General features: G+C 36.7%; 2 long non-coding RNA genes across 3 annotated transcripts in view, besides 1 other annotated feature; one reads left to right on the top strand and one right to left on the bottom strand.

Moving 5' to 3' along the window:
- The window catches only part of LOC105374434 (uncharacterized), a 33835-nt gene extending 19097 nt beyond the window's left edge, over window positions 1-14738 (bottom strand). The window contains exon 1 of the long non-coding RNA XR_925268.1: window positions 14596-14738. This is a non-coding gene — a long non-coding RNA (uncharacterized LOC105374434). The remainder of the gene's footprint in view (window positions 1-14595) is intronic.
- Window positions 122-26504, top strand: LOC105374433 (uncharacterized). 2 transcript variants are annotated; one of them, XR_925266.3, is made up of 4 exons: window positions 122-323; window positions 23502-23600; window positions 24437-24488; window positions 24861-26504. It is a non-coding gene; the product is annotated as an uncharacterized LOC105374433 (long non-coding RNA). The 2 variants fall into 2 exon arrangements; XR_925267.3 differs by lacking the exon at window positions 24437-24488 and having other exon boundaries at window positions 24861-25418.
- Window positions 23409-24608: an enhancer, noted in NCBI's record as "MED14-independent group 3 enhancer chr4:43341384-43342583 (GRCh37/hg19 assembly coordinates)". NCBI's record gives its function as "activates an origin of replication core promoter dependent on BRD2, BRD4, P300/CBP and CDK7 cofactors, and independent of MED14, by STARR-seq in HCT116 cells {active_cell/tissue: HCT116}" and the evidence as "EXISTENCE:reporter gene assay evidence [ECO:0000049][PMID:35650434]".
- Window positions 26505-27426: the final 922 nt, after the last annotated feature.

Genomic DNA, 27426 nt, shown 5'->3' on the forward strand with positions numbered 1-27426 from the left:
TAGTTGGAAATAGGGTCTTTACAAAGATAATCCAATTACAAATGAGGTTGTTAGGATAGGTCCTAATCCAATATGACTGGTGTCTTTATAAAAAGGAGGAATTTGGACACAGAAGCAGACACTCCCAGAAGAAATACAATGTGAAGACACACAGGGAGAAGATGGCCTTGTGACCAGGGAGATGCATCTACAGACCAACAAATGCCAAGGATTGCCAGAGAACAGAAAAAGCTGGAAGAATCAAGGAAGGATTCTCCCCTGGAGCCATCAGAGAGAGCATGCCCTGATATCACCTTGATTCTTCACTTCTACCTTTCAGAATTGTGAGATAATAATTTTTTGTTGCTTTGAGATTGTGGTAATTTGTTTACAGCAACCCTAGCAAACTAATACACTCCATATGCAAGTATTAACATGGTGTTCCTTTTCTTCCTCTGAAATTCATGGTAGTATAATTCCTTTTCCTTAGCTTATAACCACAAAATTCTCAAGAGGAAAATTTCTACAAATCGGTATTAAAAGTTGTAATTTTACAGTGGCAAAACAGTAGAATAATCAGAGTCTGCCCACTAGAGTTTTCTAATATCGTCCCTAAGTATTGACGCTCAGGTACTCAGATATTTATCTGTGTGCTTAAAACTGGTATTTCAGCTTGTAAATATTGCTCTAAAGATAAAGGCAAAAGTTTTCTTCTAGGGTGGTATTGATATTGTAAATTCTAAATAACTCACTTTGAAAGAATCAATAGCAATTTCTGAAGATTGTATAAAATTAATTATCTTTGCCTATACATATTTATTTTGCAACAGGAAAAACAATGAGCAGACATTTTGTGTACCTTTGTGAAGTGTTTGAATTTATCCAAACAACATCATCAGTAATTGCCTCTGTGTTTAATTCCATTCACTTTCCTTGTTCTTTTTTTCAGAGTAAGTTTGTGGTTTGGAACATTTTTCCTGATATTTAGACTTTGAAAGTTCTGCAGACATATTGTAATCAAAGTTTTTTACTCACAAAGTGTGGCACTCTGCCCTAAGTTAATGTGGGTGCGTTCATTCTTAGTCATAACCCTTGGGCACCTGCTCTCAGGCAAGAGATGACCCTGAACTTTGTTTTCTATATGCATGAGGTACATTCTTAACCCACATAGCTGATGAATTGGCTTCAAAGTTGTAGATTGTGTAACTAGTTAGTATCATGCCTGTTTAGTACCCAAATTTGTTGCCTTTTTCAAATTATATCTCCTTGGAGAGTGATATTTTGAACAGCCTCCAAAGGAAGCAGCTCTCCTTGACCCAGTTCTCAGTGAAGAGTTTTCCCAGCAGTACGTGTTTAAAAGAGATAATGTTCTGTTTTTACAAGTGGAAGTTGGTAGGGACAGACTTCATATTATAGGGCTGTGTTTTTGTTTCAATATTTATGTCAATGCTCTTGATTCAAAAATATGGGTGCACCAGGCTGGGCACGGTGGCTCTTACCTGTAATCCTAGCACTTTTGGAGACTGAGGCTGGCGTATCACCTGAGGTCAGGAGTTCGAGACCAGCCTGGTCAATATGGTGAAACCCCATCTCTACTAAAAATAAAAATTAGGTGGGTATGGTGGCACACTCCTGTAATCCCAGCTACTCAGGAGGCTGAGGCAGGAGAATCGCTTGAACCTTGGAGATGGAGGTTGCAGTGAGCTGAGATCATGCCATTGCACTCCAGCCTGGGGGACAGAGCAAGACTTCATCTCAAATATATATATATGCACCAAGGCTAGATTTAACTAACTGGTATCCAAATGGTCTGTCTTAAATGATGTCCAAATGGAAACAGACTCAGGATAGTAGTTATGAGAAATTCTAAGGTCATAGTAAGATACAATAACATTGTAATTTTTATTCGTTTTCCCATGGAGGAGATCCTTTATAATCAATTAAAGGCATATATACTTGAATCTGTTTTAGAACAGTGCTGTTCAATGGTAGGTCAATTTACCAGTATCACCATGCTTATGTATTATAGATTCATATTACATGTCAGCTATTTTAATTTACAATAGGGTAAGTACCTCTTATTATATATTTTAAGTTTTTTCTTACCCATTTCATTTTAATTTTTTCTTTCAAATTAATTTTGGAAATAATTTCTCTCAAGTTAAAAATATCTTCTATTTTCATTGGAATTTTGCTTTATATATACATTATTTGAGAAAATAACTGAGACTTTTGCAATCATGACTTCACTTTCATAGAAAAAAGAACATTTTTTCATTTATTTGATTCTTCTCTAACTTTCTGAGTAGAGTTTAAAACAAGTCTCATATTTTTGTGATGACTCTCTGGAGATAAAAGTGGCTAATATCAACTCGTAATTGTATTTATCTATATGAACAATAAGCCTGAATATTATTAATTTAAATAGAACAGAGATTTGTTTCCTCTGACATAATTAAGTCTAAATTTCAGTTTGCGATGGCTGCTATTGTGGCCTCATGGTATAGACAATATTCGAAGTTTATACTTTTTATTTGCTTTGACATTATTAGCTAGTAGCTTCTAGCTTAAGATTAACTCATGGTTGAAAAACAATGGCTGCAAAGCCAGCCATCACATCTATAATTCAGTAAGAAATTAAAAAGATTGGAAAGGCAAAATGCACCTGCCTACTATCACCCCAAAAGAGCTTTACTGGGAAGTCCCACTCAATGACTTCTGCTTATCTATCAGCAGCCATCCTTGTTTTCAGGAGCATCTTGGGTATATCATTTTTTGACAAGTGAATTATAAAATTTTACATATATTTGATAAGCATATATCCAAATATGTATGCTTATAACTTTACTATTGTTATTATTTTCTATAAAGTTATATATATTTGATAGGAATAGTCATAAAATTATAAATTATATACAATTTTATAATTTTCTACATCCATTCCAGTTTCTCTCATTTTATATGCTAAAAATTCCAGTATTGAAATATATTTTTTATTCTCTCCATATTTCAAAATACCATTATGAGGACATGAAGGACTGCAAAGTCTTCATTATTAGCCTACTAATGGGTCTTCAGTTCTCTTTGCTTCCTAATGCTGTATTTTGTGGATCATCTACCACTATATCTAATTCCCATATATGATGAAAGTCTGGCATGAGAAAAGTAGACTCTGAACAATATACCTGTATGAAATGTGAATATGATAGTGACTGCAAAGTGTTAGGTTTCTTTCACATTTTTATGCATCTACTGCCATTTATGTCCCAGATTGACTGAATTTTCCCACCATTTTCATCTATTTGAACGACTCTTAAAGTTTTCTTCATAGCTTCATATCGTATGCTTATTACTTCATTTATAGGTGACAATAAATACTTGAAGTTTCATTTAATTTTGTCTTTATTCTTTTCTCATTAGCCTGAGAAAATATAGTACAATATTGTTATCTCTTATATTGTTTTTTGTGATGTCAGATAATACTTTCAACTTATTAAATTACTTAGGAAGTAAAAGTGTATGTCTGAAAATATCTTTCAATTACAAATTAACCCAGAATTTTATCGGAGTTCTATCAGAAGCAGAAATGACTCCCGGTATTGCAAATAGAAGAAAATTAATACTGGTAATTGGATATGCAGGTGATGGAGGACCTGAGAATCTACACAGGCAAACATGAAACAAGCTGAGCAGTAGAAACAGCAAGAAGCTGCCACCATCCCTAGGCTGGAGGGACATAGGAGGTAGCAATGCCTCATTCCTAAATTCTGGAATTGTAGCTGAAACTGAAATGGAATTCCTGCCCTGTCCTGCTTTTCCCTACCCTGTGGGAGATAGAGGTGTGGGGAAAAGGACTGCCCAGTGATAGCCGGGCCATGGAGAACACACAGTCACTGCCAGATGTAATGTCTGAGGCAGAGAGAGATGGGGGAAGACAGTGTGACTTGATTTTCTTTAATCCTTCCATCTCTGCCCACTTGTTCTCAAGAAGCAGACAAGGATAGTAAGAAGATAGCAAAAACGTTTGGAGAATGCAGTTCCCTGTGTTAATATCAGATCAAGGATATTATGGCCTCATGGTATTGACAATATTCAAAATTTATACTTTTTATTTGCTTTGACATTATTAGCTAGTAGCTTCTAGCTTAAGATTAACTCATGGTTGAAAAACAATGGCTGTAAAGCCAGCCATCACATCTATAATTCAGCAAGAAATTAAAAAGATTGGGAAGGCAAAATGCACCTGCCTGCTGAGTAACACCTCAAAAGAATTTTACTGGGAAGTCCTACTCGATGACTTCTGCTTATCTATCAGCAGCCTGAGAATCCGAAAGAAAACAAATGACTAGCACACTTCTCTGTTTTCCCCTCCAGGTTTGTTTGCTGCTCACTGATGCCCAAATGTGGGCTCCTGCAGAGCGAGCTATGGGCTGCATCACCTGTGTCCATTTGCCTTTTGGCTTCCAGTTGTGTTTAGACTGATTGAAGATTGAGAATCTAGTAGAAAGTCAGATGTGGGGGTTTATTTTTCTGACTCCTTCTATGCCAGCCACAGCCACAGACCCGTGGTTGAGTCTTTTTTTGTAGCCCTGTGTCCTGCTGAGCTCTGGTAACATTGTTCCCCCATTTACCCCTTCAGGTCTAGGGGAAGTAATTGTCCCTTGCTCTTACTAGTCCCAGTGTACTTTATCATTCCTTATTATTCCTCTTATCCTTGTGCAAACATGTGTGTAAATACTGTCTTCATGAAACTATCTTCTTGTAAACCTTTTGAATGTGCGATCTATTTTCTGCCAAGTCCATGTTTGTTAAATTGAGCAAATGAGTTTTGTCTTTATAACCACCAGAATAATTCAGTAGGAGAGCAGGACAATTGCCATTTCAGCATTTGGACTTGCCTATCTACTGGCAGCCAGACTTATTTACTAAATATTAGAAAATAACTCTTCTCATTCTTGGTAATTACTTGGTATAATTTACTCTTAAAAATCCACGTATAAATATGTGCAATGTAATCAAAGGGTATTGCTCAGTTACAAAATATTGCAGCCATTGTCCCCAGAGAGGCCCGAAGCTGGGGCTGTCAAGTGTGTTCTAGCTGGAAAAGACGCATCATTCAATCTTGCAGAAAACTATTAGAATGGCTCTGTGGTAATTTTGTGCTAGTCATATTTAATTGATGGTCAGACAGGCACATAGCTGGTTTTCAGAACAGGTGAGTGGTCTTGCTAGTCTATAAAGCTTTTTTTGTGTCAACTTAAAAACAAAAACAAAAAACAGAGTACTTCTGCTTTGGGCAGTATTATCTATGTGAGCACAAGATTTGGGGAGCAGGGAACACATTTCTGTGAAGAAAACCAATATCCTTTGGTTTGGGTAGACCCTGTCTCACCAGAAATTCCAAGACTTCACAACTAAATTAGCAGGAGACTACTCAGGGGACATGGAACAGAAGCTATTTACCAACCAAAATTAAATATTTTAAATATTTAATAACCAATATGACCATTTGTCCAAATATCTCAGCTTGGGAAATATTGCTTTATGCATCTGTGATGAATCTACTGTCTTTTCTATGTTGCTGCACATCATTACCAAGTAGGGCCCTTTCTAAGCAAATCTATGAGGGAATTAAATATTATTTTCAATGTGACCAACCTTTACTTTCTGTGTGAACTTTTCCTTTATCACTGTGTTTGTCGCAACAGAAATAAAAAAAAAAAGATTTATAGGAAACAAAGTAGTCTGCTTCCTTGAAAAACATCAGTTTCTTGGAATTGATCTCTTAATACAATAAAATTATAAATAGAAAAGTGTTGGCCTTAAACCTTACTCCATCCCCGTCCTCCATTCATAGTTTCAATTATTCTTTGGCACTGTAGTGACTGTGTGAGGAGAGGCCTCTCTTGCTATTTTTGTAGTTCTTTGTTAATCCAGATATAAAGCTTGAGCTTTCTGTGCCACCCAGATACATCCATACCCCTTGAAATTTTTATTAAGAATTCTGGTAACTTCAGGAATCATTTTTAGACCTTGCAGCCTCTTGCATTTAATTATTTTTCAAAAGATTTTTTACATGTAGTAGACGAAATTGAGTTTGACAAGCTGAAGCAAATGAGGTTTAGTATCTTTGTCTGTTTGACATTTTTCAGCTTCATTTTTACTTTGTATTATGCAGTTCTCTCTTTTCTGGTATCTCAAAATGTCATTGCCCTTCCTACCCCTGCAACACACGGTTCACACCTCTTCCCTACCACTGCTCAGTTAGGAGGCACAGAAAGCAAAATCAGATAAAGAAAATCGTTCTCAACTATTGGGTTCTTCTTTGATCTAAATTTTTATCTAAAAAGACATAACTTTATCTACATCTATTATATTTATCATAGTAAGCTACCATTTCAACAAAATGGATTTTGCTAAAATATTATAGAATAATACACAAATTCTACACACAAACACACACACACACACACACACACGGAAAAAACTTGATCTTAAAATATTCAAGATCAGATCTTAAAATTGCATAGAAGCTCTTCAGCATTGACCTCTAGTTGACATGCTCTAAAAATTAATAATTCATGTATGGGTTCAAAAAATACTTGATGTCTTTCCATGATCTTCTGAAATATATAGACTTCCTCTGAAACCATGTCTATAGTAACTAAGATAAATTTAACAAATTAAATAACATTGGTACTTACAGAATTTTTAAATATTTTATTTACTTCTAAAACTCTCCTTTTATAATAAATGATACTTTTTTGGAAACATATTTTTATTAGTTGTTTTCTGATATGTCTTTCAAGTGTTGATTGGCATTTTTGTTTTATTTGTGAACTTATCTCCATCCTCTGCATTTCTGTAAGACTGTACTAAGAGCAGCTGAAGACCTTGTTTAGGGGACACTAAGTCAAAAACAAGAAAAGACCTTGAAATGTGACAGTCATCAATGACTGGGAACCTAGATATGCTGGAGTTACCCCATCCCTCACATTTAGATGCAGACTGGGTAGAGCTCATAATTTTATTTTAGATTCTAATGTCAATGTGTTATCTAATTGGAGCAAGGTAGCTAAGCCAACCTAACACAAGTAACTGTATTTATATTCCTTGAAGTTCTTTTTCATACATTTTAGACAACCTTTTCATAATTTCTCTTTTTTGTTTCTACTTTCATTTATCTTAATTTGAAGAACTCTTGTTGCCCTACTGAATTCCCTCGTTTAACTTTTCTGCATTTTTCCATTTCTCATTCTTCCAGACACACAAGCAACCCTCGTGAGTTCCCTATCTCTAAGCTGATCTTATATTATGATATCCTATAGAAACATTTGTTCTATCTGGTGATGATCAATCTTTACCTTCTACAAAGTCAAGTTCTCCATTGACATCCACAACTTTTACTACACCCAGGGTTAACTAGTAAGGATTGCATTCAGCTACATGAAATAGAAACATGGCCGAGCTTGGTGGCCCACACCCATAATCCCAGCACTTTGGGAGGCCGAGGCAGCGGATCACCTTGGGTCAGGAGTTCAAGACAAGCCTGTCCAACCTGGTAAAACTCTGTCCGTACTAAAAATACAAAAATTAGCCAGGCGGGGTGGCAGGCACTTATAGTCCCAGCTACTCGGGGAGCTGAGGCACGAGAATCACTTGAACCGAGGAGATGGAGGCTTCAGTGAGCAGAGATCGGGCCGCTGCACTCCAGCCTGGGTGAACAGCAAGACTCCGTCTCAAAAAAAAAAAAAAAAAAAAAGGAAAGAAATAAACATGATTATAGTGACTTAACAAAACAGCAGTTTAATTTCTCCACATAAGAAATGCAGACTTAGGGAGATTAGAGCAGGTATAGTAACTTCACAACTTCACCAGATCATCAATGTCAATGCCCAAGTTCATTCTAGCTTTCTGATTTAATTCTCAAGGTTGAATGATTGCTGCTCACTTCACATCTCATGATAGATTTCTAGGCAGGAAGAAGCAGAAGAAAGCAGCCTAGAGGGAGGGATAATAACAATAGTAGGAAATAAAAATTTCCACAGAACTTTTTAGTGCCTTATTTCTCAGCTCTTATTGGTCCAGATCATCATCACGTGACCTTACTTCATAACAAAGGTAGATGTGGAATATAGATTTTAGATGGGCACATGCTTCCTTGAACAGAATAGAGGTTCTGTGAGTAAGGAATGGGGGAGATTTGGTATTGGGTAAGCTACTAGCAGTGTCTGCCTCTGTTTTTCTTGATTGACCAGCATCTATATACATCCATTGCATTGTATATCACATACATTTACCCACCTCTTAAGTTTCTTTTGGTTTCTGCACTCACTTCAGAATCAAGTATTATTTAGTGCTTTGCATTTCTCTTCATCGTCTCTAGCTGTGGTTTCTCATGGTCCAGCAACCTAGACACTGAAGGCCAGTTATCCTCTGCAATTGTCTGAATGTTGGTGTCTCCCTCAAATTCACATGTTGGAATCTAACACCTAGTATAATGGTATTAAGACGTGGGGCCTTTAGAAGGTGATTAGATCATGAGGGATCTGTTCTCATAAATGGCATTAGTGCCCTTATACAAGAGGATTGAGAAAGTCTGTTTGGTTCTTCCACCATGTGGGGACACATAGAAGGTACTATCTATAAAGAATGGACTCTCAGCAGACATTAAATCTGCTGGTGCTTTCATCTTATACTTTCCTGCCTCCAAAAATGGGAGCAATAACTTCCTGTTGTTTATAAACTTTGCAGTTCCATTATAGCAGCCTAAATGGACTAAGACATCCTCTCTCAATAAATTCAACAACAGGCAGGAAGATGAATAAGGTGACAGTAATATGCATTTCCACTCAAAAATTAAGAAGGAAAAAGAACACAGACACTGGCAAATAGAAAATATAGAATCCTTGAAAAAAAGTGGGAAAGCACCTTGCTCTAGTAACAAAGCATGTTTCCTAATTAGTCAATTTTGCAGCCCCATTTCTGCCTTTTTGAGAGAATTCCCTTGAACATTGTCCTACAGAGCCAGAAAAACGATGGATATTGAATAGTATAATGCTATTAGGGATGCAAAGCTTCCTAAGTCAATCCCAGGGAGTCCAGGTATAGTTTAGAAATGGAATGATCCTGGCTGTGGCCACTCAAGCCTGGAGACTCTGTGGCAGTACAGTTTCCTCAGAAAGCTTTTTTTTTTGTTTGTTTGTTTTCATTTGAGTGTGGTCAATCCTATGCATAAAAACCACTGCTAATACTTGTATCAGGATATAGTTTTTAAGCATATAATTCTCCTACTCACCTATCTGCTTTTGTGCTATGCTCATATCTTTAAACATAATTAAGAATGTTTTTTACTGAAAGCCAGTAAAAACAATAGACTCTGGTGAGGATACGGTACAGTTTACATTATCTTGGCCACAGAATGAGACATTTCCAGGAAGTTACTAGGGAAAGGCAGGGGCTCCTGCTTCATCTTTTGCTTAGTCTGTCTGTCTGCAGCCACCTCTCACAACCACCTCAGTTTAAGGCATTGCCTCTTTTCACCTCTGAAAGCTCCTACTTAAAAGGCTGTCTTTTTTTCCTTAGCAAAGCTGTGTTGTCTTCATTGCTGCCTGCCAGCTACGTAGCATAAACCAAAGCTCAGCCCACTCCTTCAAGACTTTGCTGAAGGCAGCAAGAAGAGACCAGCACACTGCAACACTCTCGATTTTGCTTACTGTGGCTTCCTACTGCACTTGGCAGGCAACAGGTTGATGTTTTCTGTTATATAACAAAGGTTGCTAGTTTTCCAGCTTGTGATGTTCCTGCCCAAAGTCTCACACCATCATTAAGCCACTTCCTCATTTTCAGAATTTGCAAAACTCCCTTCCAGATATAAAGTCCCTTAAGAGGTAAGAGTGGCTTCGGCAACTATAACAGAAAACTAACTGTGGTGGTTTAAGGAAAGATAGTTTCCTTTTTTTTTTTTTTTTTCCACATAACACAAAATTCAGAGAGAATTAGGCTTGGGATGATATAGCTGGGTTTTTTTTAAATGTCATTAGTGGGCTAGGTTCTATTTGTCATTCTGCTTTGATATTATTTCTCCTCCATCCTTTCACTGCATATTCCAGGCAAGATGAAAAATAAGTAGATATAAAGAGGAAGAACCAAACTTTCCCAGAGATTTCTTACAGTCTTTGATTTCCATTTTAATGACCAGAATCATGCCTAGTCCCCATTTTATCTCAGAAAGGGAGAGTTCTAAAACAAATTTTATTAATTATTGACATGTTTTGTACCTTAAGTAATGAGAAAGGTGAAAATAAGTGTTCAACAGAAAATTAGAGAAGTATATTTTGTCCATAGCCTACTGTTTATCTTAGTCCTCTAAGAATTTCACACCAAAGTTTTAAATTTTTATGCAATACCACATTTTTCTCAACAGGCCAAATTACATTATTTTTCTACTTTTTAGTTTAACTTTTTATGAAATGGGAAAATTAAGAACTCATAGGGCCCATTGTGAAAGTCAAATACACTTATTTCATATAAGTGTATATTTCAAATTCCTTTTGCCTTCAGGGCTTTCTTCCTTGCAATAATAGCATCAGAAAGGACATTGAAGAAGTGTGGACCCAGGAAACATTTAGTTTATGAACATGGCCTATTAAAAGGTCCATCAGTAGACAAAACAGGTCTCCAAAAGAGAAGTTTCCTAGTAAACAACTAATTTACTTTCTTTGTTAATAACTCCAATTCTTTCTTTACTTATATTGTTCTTTGCAAGGGGAATACAATTCTCTAAAAAGTTCATCCCAGATTCATCCCAGATTCTGTCCCAAGTTTTAACTATCTAAACTGCATATTTTTACAAAATACTCTTTTTACTGGTTTCTATTGACTTAATTGACATATAACTTTTCCCACTACATCGTTTGTATAAGGAGAGATACCTGTTATTGCAGGGGACAAAAAACTTCTTTTTACTCTTTCAGGTTCTGTGACTGGCCCAATAATTAAACTGATATAATACAAATTAACAGGAGAAAGGCAGACATCTTTATTATATAATATTTTTACATGTACACAGGGATCTTCAAAAGAAAAATGAAGACCCACAGAAGCCAAAAGCTTATATACATTTTTACACAAAGAACAATAAATTGTGATGACGTGACAAGATGAAGAGCTTTGGGCTAGTGGTAGCAAAGTGTGGGACAGTTAAAAGGGCATATATGGGGAAAACTAATGGAAGAGAAAGGTTGTTTTGGTAGGTTTGTTTGTACAGGCTCATTATGATATTGAATTCCAGACTCTGGTGATAAGAATGTCTTCTTCCTTCTATAGGAGTCACCTTTCTCATGGAACATTTTATGACCTGCTTTTAGACAGAAAAGGGGAGGTCAGAGAGCCCTTCCTTCATCTGCTGTTTCTCAAGTGCCTTCAGCTCAACATAGTCAGTATGCCAAAGCAGTCATGTTGGGTGGTGTATTCTGAACTCTTCCATTTCCAGGACTATTAAGTGTGGTTTGTTCTTACTTCAGTCTTTGCTATGGCCTTGGCTCAACTTGTTCACATTTTAACTATGCCTTCAATTTGCTATACTCCTGCAAACACTCTTCTCCTTTTCCTTGCTCTCTCTGCCTTTCCTCAATTTGTGGGTGACCTTTCTCTGTACACTTGTATTTGAATTCAATAAATTTAAACCATATTATCTCTACCAGCTACTCCTGGTAATTTTTTCTTGTTCAATACAAGAGATTCTGTTCATAAACAATACCACCCAACACGCTAGCAAGCATGAAGTGATTATCTCAGTGGCCGGCATATAAGTAAGCATGCAAGTAACAATAACTATGTGGCAAGGTATTTTTTGATATAATAACTTGTGAGATGATAATCTTTTTCTCCCTCATAGTTTACCGGCCGGGCATCATCTAACACAATGTTTATTGCCTTAAGAACTAAAGGAAGTAGTCATAGTTCTCCTGACTTCTTGTTTTCTTTTTTCACAGAGGGAAGAGAAAATTCAGGGTACAGACAAGATATTTTGACACATAATCTGAAAGTAGAAGGATTCTCCTTGAGTCTAAAAGAAAGTTACTGTGGTCAGCTATAGAAAGGAGAGCGCTGCACATCTAAGAGCAGAGGGTTCCTCTGAGCTGTCAGACTAGGAACTGACTTAGGTGCAGGATGGTGGGTATCTCAGACGCCAACTGTGGGAACTGATGACTGACATTCACGGGCTTTGCTTTCCTCTCCCTTCACTCCTTGACACTTTATTAGATTCTTGATCCCCTGGTGTTAGACTGGAAGAAATATCTAAAAAGACTAAAACAGTTTCCTCCCAAATGAGTACGGTGGTGTTCAAAATAGGAATCACTCTGTGACATTAAAGCAAAACAAAAAACAAAACAAAACAAAACAAACACTAACTATATATATATATATAATTTTCCTAATACAACTGAGTTTCTGGACCATCCGTGATTCAAAAATGTTATATTATTATTTAGATTCTTATTTTCTTTTCATTCTTTTTGTTATTTTTATTGTCACTCTGTGCATGAAGGGGCTTGTAGAAGAAAAATGTCCTTGAGTTCACAATGTTAATGGTCCAGGGATGGGAAATACACTGCACAAATCTACTCTAATAAAAATTTAGCAACTTATGACTTATCCTCAGTAGTAAAAAGCTCAGCTTTTACTTACTTATTCACATCACACACACACATAATAATGCATTCAACTTATCTTACTGCCCACTTGAAGCCCACTGTCCCCTTATCAGAAAATATAGTTATATTTCATGGGCCTGCTTCACATTTAAATTTTCTGGCTCCTCTCCTGCCCCAGTCATTCTCTTATGATTTGTGTAAATTCTCTTTCCTCTTCCATTTCTACACAGCCTTGAGATACTGTGTGAATTTCCCTACATCTGCTTTTCACTTGGGAGTTTTTTTTTTTTTTTTTTTTTTTTTTTTTTTTTTTGAGACGGAGTCTCGCTCTGTCGCCCAGGCTGGAGTGCAGTGGTGGGATCTCGGCTCACTGCAAGCTCCGCCTCCCGGGTTCACGCCATTCTCCTGCCTCAGCCTCCCAAGTAGCTGGGACTACAGGCGCCCGCCACTACGCCCGGCTAATTTTTTGTATTTTTAGTAGAGACGGGGTTTCACCGTTTTTTTAGCCGGGATGGTCTCGATCTCCTGACCTCGTGATCCGCCCGCCTCGGCCTCCCAAAGTGCTGGGATTACAGGCGTGAGCCACCGCGCCCGGCCTCACTTGGGAGTTTTCAGAGAGTTTGTGTATGTGTGTGTTGGGGCGGTGAGGGGGTGGGGGAGGATGGGAGGGTACTCTCTCACTTTTCTTTTTCTCTAGGCTTCTTTTTAAAATTTTACTTCCTTTTTGTGCTGTTCCTTTGGTCCTTTTTTACTGTTTCTTTTTTCCTCTTTAAGAATCTCTTATAATGCTCTTTAAAATGAATACAGCCTATAATTTTAACTATTTTAAAGTCATGTTTTATATGGGTAAAATTAAGAATTCTGAACATATTATTACTAGAGAGATTTCTTTTACAGCATTTAAAAGAAAGGGTTGCAACGGTTACTATCATAAGTGTCACCTCAAAAATATTTCTTTGTTCACTCAACAAAGCATGCAGAGTACCCACTGTACAGCAGGCTCAGAGCCAGCTCATGAAATTGAATATATGCCATCCTTGTCCATGAAAACTTGTAGGAAGGTAGACAGGCAAAAATCACACTCACAGAAAGATCCATACTATCTTAGTTCATTAAGGCTGCCATACAAAATACCATAAACTGGTAGGTTATAACCAACAGTAACTTATTTCCCACATTTCTGGAGCCTGTAAGGTCCAAGATCAAGAAGCCAGCAGATTCGGCATCTGGTGAGAACCCATTCCTCATAGACAGCAACCTTCTCACTCTAAAGTCACCTGGTGGATTGGGTGAGGGCTTTCCCTGGGGCCGCTTTTATAAGGGCACTTTTCCATTTATGAGGGTGGAGCTCTCATAAGCTAATGACCTCCCAAGGGCCCCACCTTCTACTTCCATAACCTTAGGGGTTAGGATTTCAACATACAAATTTTGGAGGGACACAAATATTCAGACTACAGTACCTGATACAATCTAAATATGTTTAATGTTCAGAGAAAACCTAGGGGGAACACTTCAAAGAGGGACTAAAATCCTTTCTATGAAGGATTGAGTATACCTCAGCTCAGTGGTCACTATACTGCAAATACTCTCCCTAGTGCCATACATTTCCAGGACTTTAATTACTGTCTATAATGTAATTTCCTAAATCTGTTGTTCCACCCAAGATTCTCTCCTGTGCTGTAGATCTAGATATTCAGTTGTCTTCTACAACTTCCATTTGGATAGCCCAGATGTACTTTTATTGCAATTTGTTTAAAATTTTCAGTGTATACATCTACTCAAATGTGCTCTTCCTCTTCTTTTCCTTACTGCCAAGAATGGCCCATCCTACAGCAAGTGACTCAAGCCAGAAATAGATGAATCATTCATGATTCCACCCTCTGCCTTATTTCCTCATCCAATTAATCATCTTCTTTTCCTTCTATATACTAAATGTTTACCTTATGTTGTACCTTACCTTGTGTTGTAATCACTCAGCAGATGCAGGATGGGCTCCTACCCAAAATTTGGTTTAGATGTCAAGACCGATGACACCACACACAAACCAAGAGGGTATGAAAAGTTTTATGACTTAAAGAATAGGGCTTTCTGGAGATATAAGGGCAGGAGCAGATGTATCTAGTGAAGAGTGGACACAGGGCACTCCATACAGTGGGAACAATGTGAAGGCATAGAGGGGTGAAACGTGCGGGTCACAATTGTTACACCAGCAGGGAGAGTGTGTTACAACAGTGGTGTGTGGTTTGGAAGGGTGGGCCATGGTGATAGGATCTGAGAGTAGATATGGGTTAAAATAGTGAAAGGCCTGGTACATTAAACAGAAGTCTGCATTTTGTTGTGTAAGGTTATGATTCTCAAAGTTAAATATATGTGTCCTGAGGGTATGCCTGGTTAAGACTAAAAGCTACTGGATCAATGTGCAACTCCTCCTAGAAAACATAAGGGAACTATAATATTTTAGTATATTTTAAAATTGACACGTGAAAGTTTTTTTTATGTTAAAACTCCTAACACTATCTGCTGTAGAAGACTAAATCTACATGATATTTATGATAAATGATATATTTTTAAAATATTTAAAAATATATAAAATATATAAAAATATATAAAAAATCTTAGGGTGAACCATTTTGAGTAATCCCCACCCCCAGGATTCAGTCTCCAAATTGTCAATGAGAACATTTGGGAATTACTGCTGAGTGATGCACAGTCACTGAAGAATCTTTCACAGAGTTATGGCATCACCATCAGTTTGCAAGTGTATGAGCCTGAGGGTGGAAGTTGAACTGGCAGATCACATGGATTAGAGAAAGTGAGACATTGGAAGGCTATGAAAATAGAGCAAATGAGAGATGATGCTGGCATGTCATAATGCCATAAAAAGTTTGATGTCTGACAGCTTTTATACTTATCTTTCCCTTGTGTCCAACATTTGGGAAAGTGATAAGAAAGTCTAGTGCTTTCTCCTTTGTCTCTGGTAGGTAATTCAAACCACATGAGCCCTTGTCCATACACTGCAACCATCATCCTGATCCCAGACACTAACCACAATAAAAAGAAAAACCCAAGCAGCATCCTTTGCTGCTCTCTCAAGTCATTTTCAAACCAGCTTGGGATTCATGCCCTTATATCCCCAGAAAGCCATATTATTTAAATAATAAAATGTTTCATACCCTCTTGGTATGTGTGTGTTGTCATTAGTCTTGACATGCAAACCAAATTTGGGGTAAAGTTCCATCTTGCCTCTGTGGAGTGATCACAACACAAAGGCAAACTTTTAGGATATATGAGGAAAAGATGATGATTAATTGGATGAGGGAGTAAGGAATCTTGAGTGACTCATCCATCCCTGGCTTGAGTCACTTGGTGTTTGATGGGCCATTCTTTGTAATAAAGAATAAAAGAGAAAGAGCACATTTGGGTAACATGTATACGTTGAAAAGGTAAAACACATTGCAATAGAAGTATATGTGGCCTATCTGAATGGAAGTTGTAGAAGACAGCTGAATATCTAGATCTAGAGCAAAGGAGAGGATCTTGGATGGAAGCACAGGTTTAGGAAATTACAATAAAGGCAGTGATTAAAGTTCTAGAAATGTATGACACTTACTAGGGAGAGTATTTGCAGTATAGACCAGTGAGCTGGGGGAGGCAGGATGTTGTTGATATTGTGACTGAGACTGAAGAAATACTCATTTAGAGAGTGTACCCTCTTTATCTGGTTAAAACCTAATGTTTGATAGTGCTCAACTCAGCCACCCAAAATCTGTTATTCACCATTTGAGGCTGGGTTAGGAGTTTCTCCTTAATCCTTCCTTAACACTCAGAAAATCTCTATTCTTGCACTTTCAGTGACAATTTTATGATTATATTCCTCCATTTAGTGTATAAATACTATTGTGTGAGCACTTTTAAAATTTACCTTTGTACTCCCACTCTGCTACAAATTCCCCTGTATATTCCATTCTGCTAGGCACTGAGTAGGTATTCAGTAAATGTGAAATGAACCAAAGAATAAGAAAATTGATTTTATCTATTTCACCTGTGTCAAAACTAATCAACTGCATTACAAGTCTGGTATTTAGATGTGTCAAGAAAAACTATGAGATCTGATAATACTGATATTCTTCATAAAGGCTAGAAAACCACAGAGAACTTGATTGTGGAATACACACAATAAAAAATAATTTAAAATACATTTTAATTTCCTATTATTTCTGTTTTTATATCACATTTTTTGAATAGCAGTATTTTTTTTCTCAAAGAGCATTTTTCCTACTCTATAGAACAAATTGAATGATTAAATAATTTAAATACAAGGGATATTTCCTAGGCCATCAGCTAGTAAGGTTAGGAATATGATGGGGCTACCATAAAGAAGCAACAAACATCAAGTCAAAGTTTCACTAATTTCTACCATCTAATTCATGATAACATAATCTCTGAAAACTTCGTATTTTCTTCTTTCTCATTTTAAGAATTGTGGTCTCTAAAGAAGCATAATGACAGTGGCTGAAATTCTGGAAGAACTGTCATGGTTCAAACATTTGCTGTGTTGTTTATGAGTAGCATGACTTTTGTGCAAGACATAACCCTTTTGAGCATCAATTTTTTCTCAGCTATAAAGTACATTATAACAGTTGAATTGAACGTATAAAATTGTTTTAAGAATTAAAAGAGATAATGCATGTTAAAGTGTTTAGCTCAGAGCCTTAAATGTAGTAATCTATCAGTAAATTTTTATTGCTGTTTATGATAATAATATCACTTCCTGATATTATTGCTTAGGTGGCCCTGAGCAATGCCATTCCCTTCCTTCTTGCCTTCTTGTCGCTGCAGAACACTTTCCTCAGGACAATTCTGTTTGAGGTGCATCTTCTCGTGCTGTGCTTTACATGTTAGTTGTTTCCACTGCTTCATTTCTTGGTTCCATTTGTGGGGATGAGAGTCCAGCTCTGCCTGCCAATCCTTCCATTTTTCTTACCTGTACTGTCCTGGGGAAACGTCTGCCTCCTTTTGTCTTCAATTTGGCATGATCCACCATCCACTTCCTCATGATGCCATCTCACTGTGATAGAGAACAAGGCCAATGCACACATGTGCAGCCAGATACTTTCCAATAAATGTCTTTTAAGAGACTATTTTTTAAGTAGAATAAAATATGAGATAAAAGGAAAAGGGAAAATAATCAAGGAAGAGCCTTTTGTATCAGAATCTTTTTGGCCTTTCCCTACTGTTTTCAGAATTCAATTTTAAAATGTTGAAAATAAATATACCAACTAAAACAAACTTAAATGATGAAAGAAAAACAGCTTCTGATGTAAATTTTTAGAACTGAAAATAATTTAACTGCAGAATACACACATATGCCTTTAATCTGACTATCACAGTAGATTTAGATGTCTAAGACTGGGAAAATAATAAGAGTGAATAGAGCTAAACGAAGCATTTGTTCTTTTCTCTCTCTCCTCTCCAAACTTGATTTTCTTTTGATTCATTTGGTCATTTGTTCCTAGTTTATTTTATCCCCTAAAATACTATTTTTATGTTATAACTTTGCTCAAAAACCTTCACTAGCTTTCTTCTGTATATACAAAGCACGCCTCTTAGAATCATTAAGTTCTTCAATGGTCCAGTTCCAGACTTTTATTCTGCATATTCCATTTTCATCACAATGTGACCCCTTTCCTCTGACTTAGAAGGCCTACCCATTTTCTCAAAATATAATTTTTATTAATATACCCTTGTGGTTTTACTTGTACCTATTTTTTCTACCTGAAAAATCTTCTTCACTTCTTTTCTCACTCTTTGCATTCCACTGATTTTTCTAAATCTAACTTGGGGAACAAGTGTTCTTTGGGAACACTGGTCCCAAGCGTCCAGCAAGCAGTGACCTCTCATTCCTCCAAATCATTAGTTATCCAGTTATCCTTCACTTTTCATTCGATTTTACTCATTATTTCTTTACTCATTATTTCTAAAATATGCTTAAAATTTGAAGATTTATGTCACCAAAACTTTTCAATGTAGGTAGGAAACAAACATATTAGTCAATTAATGAGCTATAATTTTCCTCACTCATAGCACTAACTATATCTCATGAGGTGGTTATGTCTTGTAGGTTTTTGATCATGTGTAAGTGCTCAGGGCAAAGTGTTTGGAAGGGACCATCTTTCCTTTCTTATGTTTCCATGCGACTCGATCTTCCATTTGAGTAACACATTTGGTTTCTCTTTGTCCCCTTACTTGGTTCTCTAATTATGGGGAAAAACACTAGCTAGCTACATTAGCACTCATTCTAACTCATATTTTTCAACACTGGATTTATTGGTAATGAATGTGATATCTGGATCTCCATATGTGTAACTCTTATGCCTATCTCTCTGTTAGTTCTGACCTTCATTTAGGGGGAAGAGTAATAGTTATGAGGACCACTTAAACTCCAACACACGCTTTTGTACATGACATTATGCAAGAGATATTTGTTCCATTTACTAAATTAATAATTTCCAGTCACTTAAATAACAGAAATGAATCTGATTTAGACTGTCTAGTACTTACCTTTTGTTATTTTGAGTGGCAAAAATGAAAAAAAGTTACTTTATTAAGGTTCAAGTACCTGGCTATGAGAGCATTTTGAAGTCTTAATATAGTAAGTAAACCCAATTATGATGCATAGTCTTTAAAACAATTTTACCTTTCTTTCCCCATAAGATGCATTTATAGTTTTGAAGAGGAAGGAATGACAGGGTTATGGCATTGGCTTCTGCCTCAGGATGTTCTCTAGTTCATCCCAGCTCTTGTATTGTTTCATCTCTCAGTGAATACGTTCAGTTTTTTTTTTTTAATGAATGAAGCTACTTACACAGAAATTATAAAGCCATTTTAATTTCTTATGTGTGTCTAAAGTGTCCATAGAGCACATTATTAAAAGTAAGAAGGGAAGACCCAAAACTTACCAATGGAACTGATAGATGTGACATTCTTTATTATGACAATATTTTCCTCTTTTACTTGAAAAGCTTTTTGTTCTACTATTACAGAAAACTCTATGTATTACTTAAAAACTATACTATTTATGCAAGATTTTTTTCAGACAGCTCTAAAATGTAGATAGCTAAGTTGCTAAACACAACAATTCATAGTTAATAGATTAAGGAGTGAAAATGACATATTTGCTTGAAATTGTATGGATGATTTAGGCTGACAACACAATTTCCTAGCATAAAATTTAACCATGTATTTTAAAAATAGAACCAGGGGAACTTGAATGACAATTGTTCTGTGTTTTATCCACTTGAAAATTCATGAATATGTATTGAATATCTCATGAGTCCATTTTTCCTTATTTTACAAACTTATTTTCACTATAAAATCAACATAACCATATTTTTGAAACTTTGAAAAATGTAAGTAGAAATCACTTCTAATCACTGAACAAAACTACTTTTATAGTTTTGAGTATGACTTAGGCCCTTGGGTGAATTTCAACAAGTTATTTAACCCCTCAGAGACATTTGTTATACTTGAAAACAGGCAAGAATAAAATTAATTTCCACATGGCTGAATTAGAGTAAAAATTAGAAATAATATATAAAAATGTTACAGTGAGCTGAACTCACCAAATCTACTTAAGAATAAGGTAAGGCATAAATTCACAAAATCATTAGAAAAAGTTATGTGGAGAATTATTTGTTTTAATATATTTCTTGCCAATATTTTTCTAATAAATAAGTTTCCATAAATTTTTATAGTGTAGAATAATACACACACGCACACATGCACACACATATGCACACTACTTTGTAACCTGTTTTTGTTCATAACATTTTATCAAAAACATTGGCCATGTTATACATAGTCTTCATGTCATTTTAATTTTCCTGAAGACGTATTTCTCTTCTGAGGCTTGAGTTTTACATCATTCTGGACTTATAACTCTTTAGGATGGCTGCACAATGGTCATTTTTAATTTTTCTTAATCAAAAATGACCCAGGGATTTTCTTCATTTTTCTCTTTTGTTGGGACCTGTGGTCACTGAATCCTATAAGCTCCTTTTTCTTGATTTAATTTTTCATTTTGTAGAACACATGCATCAGTCATATCATGAGTGTCCTAGTTCATCATCCCTGAGGGAATGGCTGATACTCTATAAGAAAGAAAATAAAATGCATATGTAGAGTATGTGTTTATTTCATTCAAGATGAATAGCTGTCCCTTTAGAGTGAAGAGTCTTGTGAAATTAACTTGCCAACCAATTGAATGGTTGAAGAGACGTCACTATATGGGTACTCAGAATTGGTCTTTGTTTAGGCAGATTAGCCTTGGTGGGTGGAACCTCATGTTACTGGGCCGATGCATAGTCCCCATCTTTGCCACTATTGTTACAAGATGGGGATGTTCAATGACAGAGACTATCTGAATCACGTAGTCAATTAGCTAAACCATTGTATCTACTTGGTTGTTTAGTGCCTTTTCCATGGTAGATATTCTCTGATGAGTATTGACATGTGATACAAAGATTTTTGCACTTCATGACCACTCCGATAGGTCCATTCACATGCCTCTTCTAGAACTCTTCGTTTCTTATTTGCTATTTTTTCTCTTTCCAAACTCTGACCAAGAAATCAAGTCATTTTGTACCATGAATACACGCATGTTTTTGCCTTGGAAAATTTCTTTTTCCAAACAATGTAGAATAACAGGTGCAGGCCCAAAAGCTTTTTTGCTGAAATGATTGCCAACATTATAGTTTTCAGGGCCATTCTGAGTGGCTCTGTCCTATGTCAGCAATATATTAGTCTTTAATTAAATTAAGATTAGTTATTGTACTCATACTAACTGACCCATTTACTAACTGAGCTTGATCTTCCTTCACTTGTATCACATTTTAATAAGGGGCAAGAGCGTCCCTATATCAATAAGTTCTTTATATTCATCTTTATACATAATCCACCTTGATCCAGCCCTCTCTGATTCCACAACCATATATATTATTGTGGGATTTGCTGACATGTGTTTGTTATATTCTAGAGGTCCTTTGGTCTAGTACTTTTTCTTGGTTAATGGGCCAGCATCTTTCTGGATTATGTTGTGCATAAATTGCACTGTGGATTGGCCCTAATTTTTTTCTGGTAACTAGGAGAAGTGGAGGTAGATTTTGAAAGGGATATGTGTGTTTATACAAAGCAGGGTCCTCTGCATCATCTTAAAAAATAATGGGAGAGGGATGACTACTAATGGGGAGGAGTGAGTCACTTTTGAAAGCCTAGAAGTTTCATTTCAGGGGAATGTGAATTCTCAAGATTCTTGACTGTTTTATGCAACCTATCTATCTTTACCCAAAGTTTTAAAATTTCACTCTTTCTCAACTTGGGCCCTAATTTTTACATAGCACAATTGCCAGAGTTGATGTGATGACTGTCTTTGGAGCTCTGCTTTGCTAATAAGTCTTAAATCTGATTCTGACCATTTTTTGCCTCTAATATCAGCAGATAAGAACCTCATTGTCTTTTTTTTTTTCTTTTTTTTTTTGAGAGAGAGTCTCACTCTGTCACCCAGGCTGGAGTGCAGTAGGGTGTTTCGGCTCACTGCAACCTCCGCCTCCCAGTTCCAAGCAATTCTCCTGCCTCAGCCTATTGAATAGCTGGGATTAGAGGTGGGTGCCACTACGCCTGGCTAATTTTTGTATTTTTAGTAGAGATAGGGTTTCACCATGTTGGCCAGGCTGGTCTTGAACTCCTGGCCTCAGGTGATCCACCTGCCTCAGCCTCCCAAAGAGCTGGGATTGTGGGCGTGAGCCACCACACCCAGACTTCATTGTCTTTCTTCAATGCAATAATAGCATGAGCAAATGCCATCCTATTGCATTTTCTTCATAATAAGTACTCCTCTAGAACCTATCAAATGTCTGAGATAGTGCACTTGCTGGTACATTTTCTTTCATTGATTTCCCATCTCACTTTACAATCAATGAATGCTTTAAAAATTTCACAGCTATAATATGCCAGTTGCTCTCATCAGTCCAATTACCACCCATGTTCATGATAAAGCTCTTGTTGCCAGCCAGCTGGTGATGATCTAGCTCTAAACTCTCATTTTTAGACTCTGCTTCCTCAATCATTTCTGTTAACAGTTGTTTTAATTGAGTTCCTCAGAAATTGTCTCAAGAAGAACATTTATATGCAGAAAGATTATTCAGGAATGCTCTAAGGAACACTTGTGAAGACATGGGTGGTGGATAGAAAGAGAAATTAAAGTACAGCACAGAACATAGGTCTTAGCTGAACCAAAAGGAAGCTCTAGAGCTGAAATGGCCCTTCAGAGTTATTGTACATTGAGGATAGATAGATGGCTTAGTATTTGTACCCTTTCTCCTTGATCAGTCCCTGGATGAAGGCTGTCCTGGAGGTGGGGACATGCCTCCTTCAGTCAAGAGTAATCCCAAAGAAGGACATAACTGTAAGCAGTCAGCAAACAATATTTCCAGAAGCTGGGGAATGTGTACAATGTATGACACAGAAAAAGTGCGTAAAAGATAAAATTTGAGACCTTGCAAATAGAAAATCCAGTTGTTCTATAGCAATTAGTTTGGGTATAGAATGCTGGCTTGGACAAATTTATTCCTTCTGAATTCTAAAGTATTGCTCAATTGTATTCTCAGGTAGCCTCTAAAACAGTCCCAAGTGATCCTCACCTCCTGGTATTCACCTTTGTAGTCCTCTCCTCATGAGTATGAACTCAATTTAGTTATTTAGTTTTAATGAATAGAACATGGCAAAAGTGGTGGGATGCCACCTCTGACACTAGAATGAAAGTCCATGGCTTCTGTTTGGGGCATTCTTTCTCTCTCTCTTTCTTAGAAGGAAGCCAGCTGCCATGCTTTGAGCTGCTCTATGGAAAGGCACATTTGGCAAGGAACTGATGCCTCCAGTCAACAGCCAGCCAGGACTTGAGACCAGGTAACAAGCACAGGGGTGTGCTTGGGAGCAGACCCTCCTGCATTTGACCCTTGAGATGACTACAGCCCCAGTCATAATGAGTCAGAAGCATCCAGCCAAGTCATTCCCACTTCCTGACCCATAGGAATTGTGAAATGATAAATGTGGGGTTTTTTTTAAGCTGCTAACTTTGGGTATAATTTGTTGTGCAGCAATAAATAGCTAATATACAATATTTCCACTGAGAAGTTAACTGTTATTTTGAACTCTGAATCTCATATAGACCAGTGTTCACTTTATCTTACTCTCTCTCTCTCCTCTCTCTCACTCTCTGTCTCTGAAATTTCTTCAGATTTTTTATTTGTTTCTGGTGCTCTTACTTTTCACAATGTTGGAACTTATTGATGGTTCTGTCTGTGTCTATTGGGCTGGACATGCTTTAGGATCTTTTATAACCTGTACTCAGTTTGAGTAGTTTCTTGGGTTGATTCCGTTTTGATTTTCTCATTTCTTTGGAAATTTATAATTTTAAAATTTTGGACCACTGAGAACATTTTTAAATTGTCTTAATCTAACTTTCCACTTCTATTCTTTTGCCTATTCTTCTTAGATAATTTTTACACTTTATTTTCAAGCCCTTCTATTAATATTTTTATTTCTGCTGTGTTATTTCTAAGACTTACAGATTTTATAATGCTATTTTTTAGCATCTCTCCTATTTTGTGGATATGTCATCTTTTCTCTCTGAATATGATAATGAGGCTTTCATTTGTTTTCTAAGTTTTTATATCCCTAGGTATTTACTGTTTTGATAATTTTTTCTTCCCTGTTTGTTTGCTTTGCTTTTTTCTTCCAAGATAAAGCCTGGAAGCTGCACGTCACCTGCCAGCTTTGTGTGTGCCCAGTGAGGTAAGAAAATTGGCAGCATTAAGATTTAGTAGATACATTTTCATGCATACCAGGTTTTTAGTGCTATACTTCTGCTCTCAGATGTGCCTGTCATCTCCCTCTGATATCCAGACCCTGTTTTACCCTTTAGTAAACTGCTGGGGTTTGGAAAAGGGCAGCTGCCCAGCATAGAGAAGAGTTCTGTGAGGTTTTTGCCTTATGTGGACCTCCATTTTAGTTATATATTGCTGCATAACAACTCTATTCTTTCCCCCAAATTTAGCAATAAAAAGCAAAAACTACTTTATTATGTTCACAAATTTTGTGTGTGAAGAATCGAGAATGGGTGAAACATGAAAGTCTTTCTTCTTTCTGTAATGTTTGTGGCTTCAGTGCAGGTGGCATAATGACCAGCGGTGACTTGAATGACAAGGGGACAGAACAGCTGGACAATCCAATTCCTAGATGCTTTCTCCAGTTATGGCCCTGACTGGGATCTCCGAAGAATGACTCAGCTGAAACTGTCAGTGAGGATGCTTACCTGTGGTCTCCCCATCATGGTGGTATCAGGGTTGTTGAACACCTTACATGGCTCCAAAAGCAAGTGTTCTGGAATGTAAGGCAACAGCTGTGTGGTCTTTCATAATCCAGCATCAGAAGTCACATGGCATCACTCCTGCTAAAATTTCTTTGTGGAAGCAGCCACAAAACTGCCCAAATTCAAGTAGAGGGCACACAGATCTTATTTTTTGATGGGAGGACTCACAAAAATTTTGCCACCATATTATAAAAACACTATAAGATCTAATAGTAACTTTAACTTTTTTTAACCAATCCTTCTATTTTCAGCCCAGACTTCACTTCCTTATTCAGATGTATAAATGTCTTCTGTGGCTTTGTGATCAAATCTGAATGTTTCTTGGATTTACCCCTGCCAGCTAAGGATTTGGCCTTCTTTGATCTGTTAAATCAGTTCTCAAACACTGACTTGTTTTCCATCTAAAATATCAGGGTGACCTTTATCCCATTCTCATTGCTTTGAGGATTTTGTGCCCCCTTTTTTAAAGTCACTTTCTATGTATTTTTATATGAGTGAGGTTTTGGGAGAAAGTACAGATAAATATATATTCTCAATCTACCACTTTAATTGAAAATTCTTGTTTTTTCTTTTACAAAATTCCTAATGTTTGCCTAACAAACATTTATTGAGAAACTGCTGTATTTTCAGTATGTGTTAAGGTCTGTGTACATCTATTTTATATACATTATCTTATTTAATATGCTCATTTAATTTCCACATCTTGTTTAACATTTATAATCTTTTGATTTGTTAAATACAATTTGTAGAAGACCATTGGTTTAGCGTGAGCTGCACCAGGCCTGGCAGACCAAACCAAAATGTAGTATCTCATACTAAAGTTCCATGCCACCAAGCTGAAACTAAGTTGTTTATCTGACTTTCCAAGAAGTCAGGAGAAAGAGATAACAGTCAAATCCCCAAATATGCTAGTTTGAGTTGGCATGATAGGAAAGTTCCTTCCACTTTAGCCTTTATACGAAAGTAACTTTGGAATGATCAGTCTGCTTTTTGTTTCCTGTTTCTGTTTCAGCACTTTTTGTAAAGCCAACTTCTTCTCAGCACATCAGAACACTCATTCTACTTTATAGAATGAGGTATAATCTGAATCTAAAATCACAAATAAAAGCCAATTAAGATTTTTAAAGTAAGTTTGTTGTAATTTTGTCTTTTGACAGATTTCATCATTGCCTACATTTGTCTTCAGACGACCTGCAGTACAAACTTGGCTTAAACCTGCAGTTGACAATGGTAACAGGAATCTTATTTTAAAAAATAATATGCGCCACCAGCTAAGTTGGTCATGATGAGGTCTGGGCCTTGATAGCCTTCTGGGTTTTAATTCACACAATATGTTTGAAAAAAGAAAAATCAAAGTAACTGTAATTTTTTTGTAAAGCAAAATACTTTTTAAAAGCCATGAGGCACGTGTTACTCAAAGGGCTCCTTGGATGAATTATTTTGTAAGGCAAATGATTTGTTATAGTTCCAATGACATCTAAATTTGCCAGTTGTAAATACTGGAATTTTTGGTCCTTGCATTGAACTTACTGGTATTGATGTGCTATATAACTAAATGTCTTCTAAAAGGATTCACCGTGGGAGAATAAATTACAATGGATAAAAAACAGCATTACAATCCCTCAATAAAATGGGATTTTAACAGACAAAGGTGAGTCAGTGGTGAAAGGCAGGAGAAGATACAACAGGTAAGTGTCTGACTTCAGGCTGGAGCCCTAATATAATAATAAGTCCTTCTTGTATTGTAATCTCTTACAGCTGAATCTCCATGTGCTCTCTCTCTCTTCTAACATCAATGCAGCTCCTGGTATGTGGTCGTTCTCAGGCCCAAAGGCCCATTTTGCTTTTGGCTGCAACTCTGTAACTCTGTAACAGAGACCAAGTGCCTGCAGGGAGCAGATGTTTGGGGCAGTATCTGCTAAGGTGGCTTTGCTGAAACTTGTTTCTCTCATTGGGTCTTGGAAGTGGCGAATAGGACGTTCCTATAGAAAAACTCAGAAAGGTAGTGTTCTATCATCAATAACATGATCAGCATGACAATATTGTATTATGTTTATTCCAGTAACGGGCCAAATATTCTGCATAAATTACCTAATTTAAGACAAGTACTATGTTTAGTTCCATTCTTCAAATCAGAGAATTGAGGAAAAAAACAAAGGCTTTTTTTTTTCAGATAATGAAGCTGCTATTTGCAAGAACTGCATCTGTCTGACTCTCAGACAGATCTACACCAGTGTTTAGCAGACATGCCAAATGATAAGAGTCAATCACAGCCTCTGTAGAAAATACTGGAACCCTGATGTGGACTTACTGAATCAGAATCTCCAGGCAATAAGCTTGAGATTCTCTGGTTTGTAAAGC

This window comes from Homo sapiens, chromosome 4, assembly GCF_000001405.40.
Source record: "Homo sapiens chromosome 4, GRCh38.p14 Primary Assembly".
Classification (NCBI taxonomy): Eukaryota; Metazoa; Chordata; class Mammalia; order Primates; family Hominidae; genus Homo; species Homo sapiens.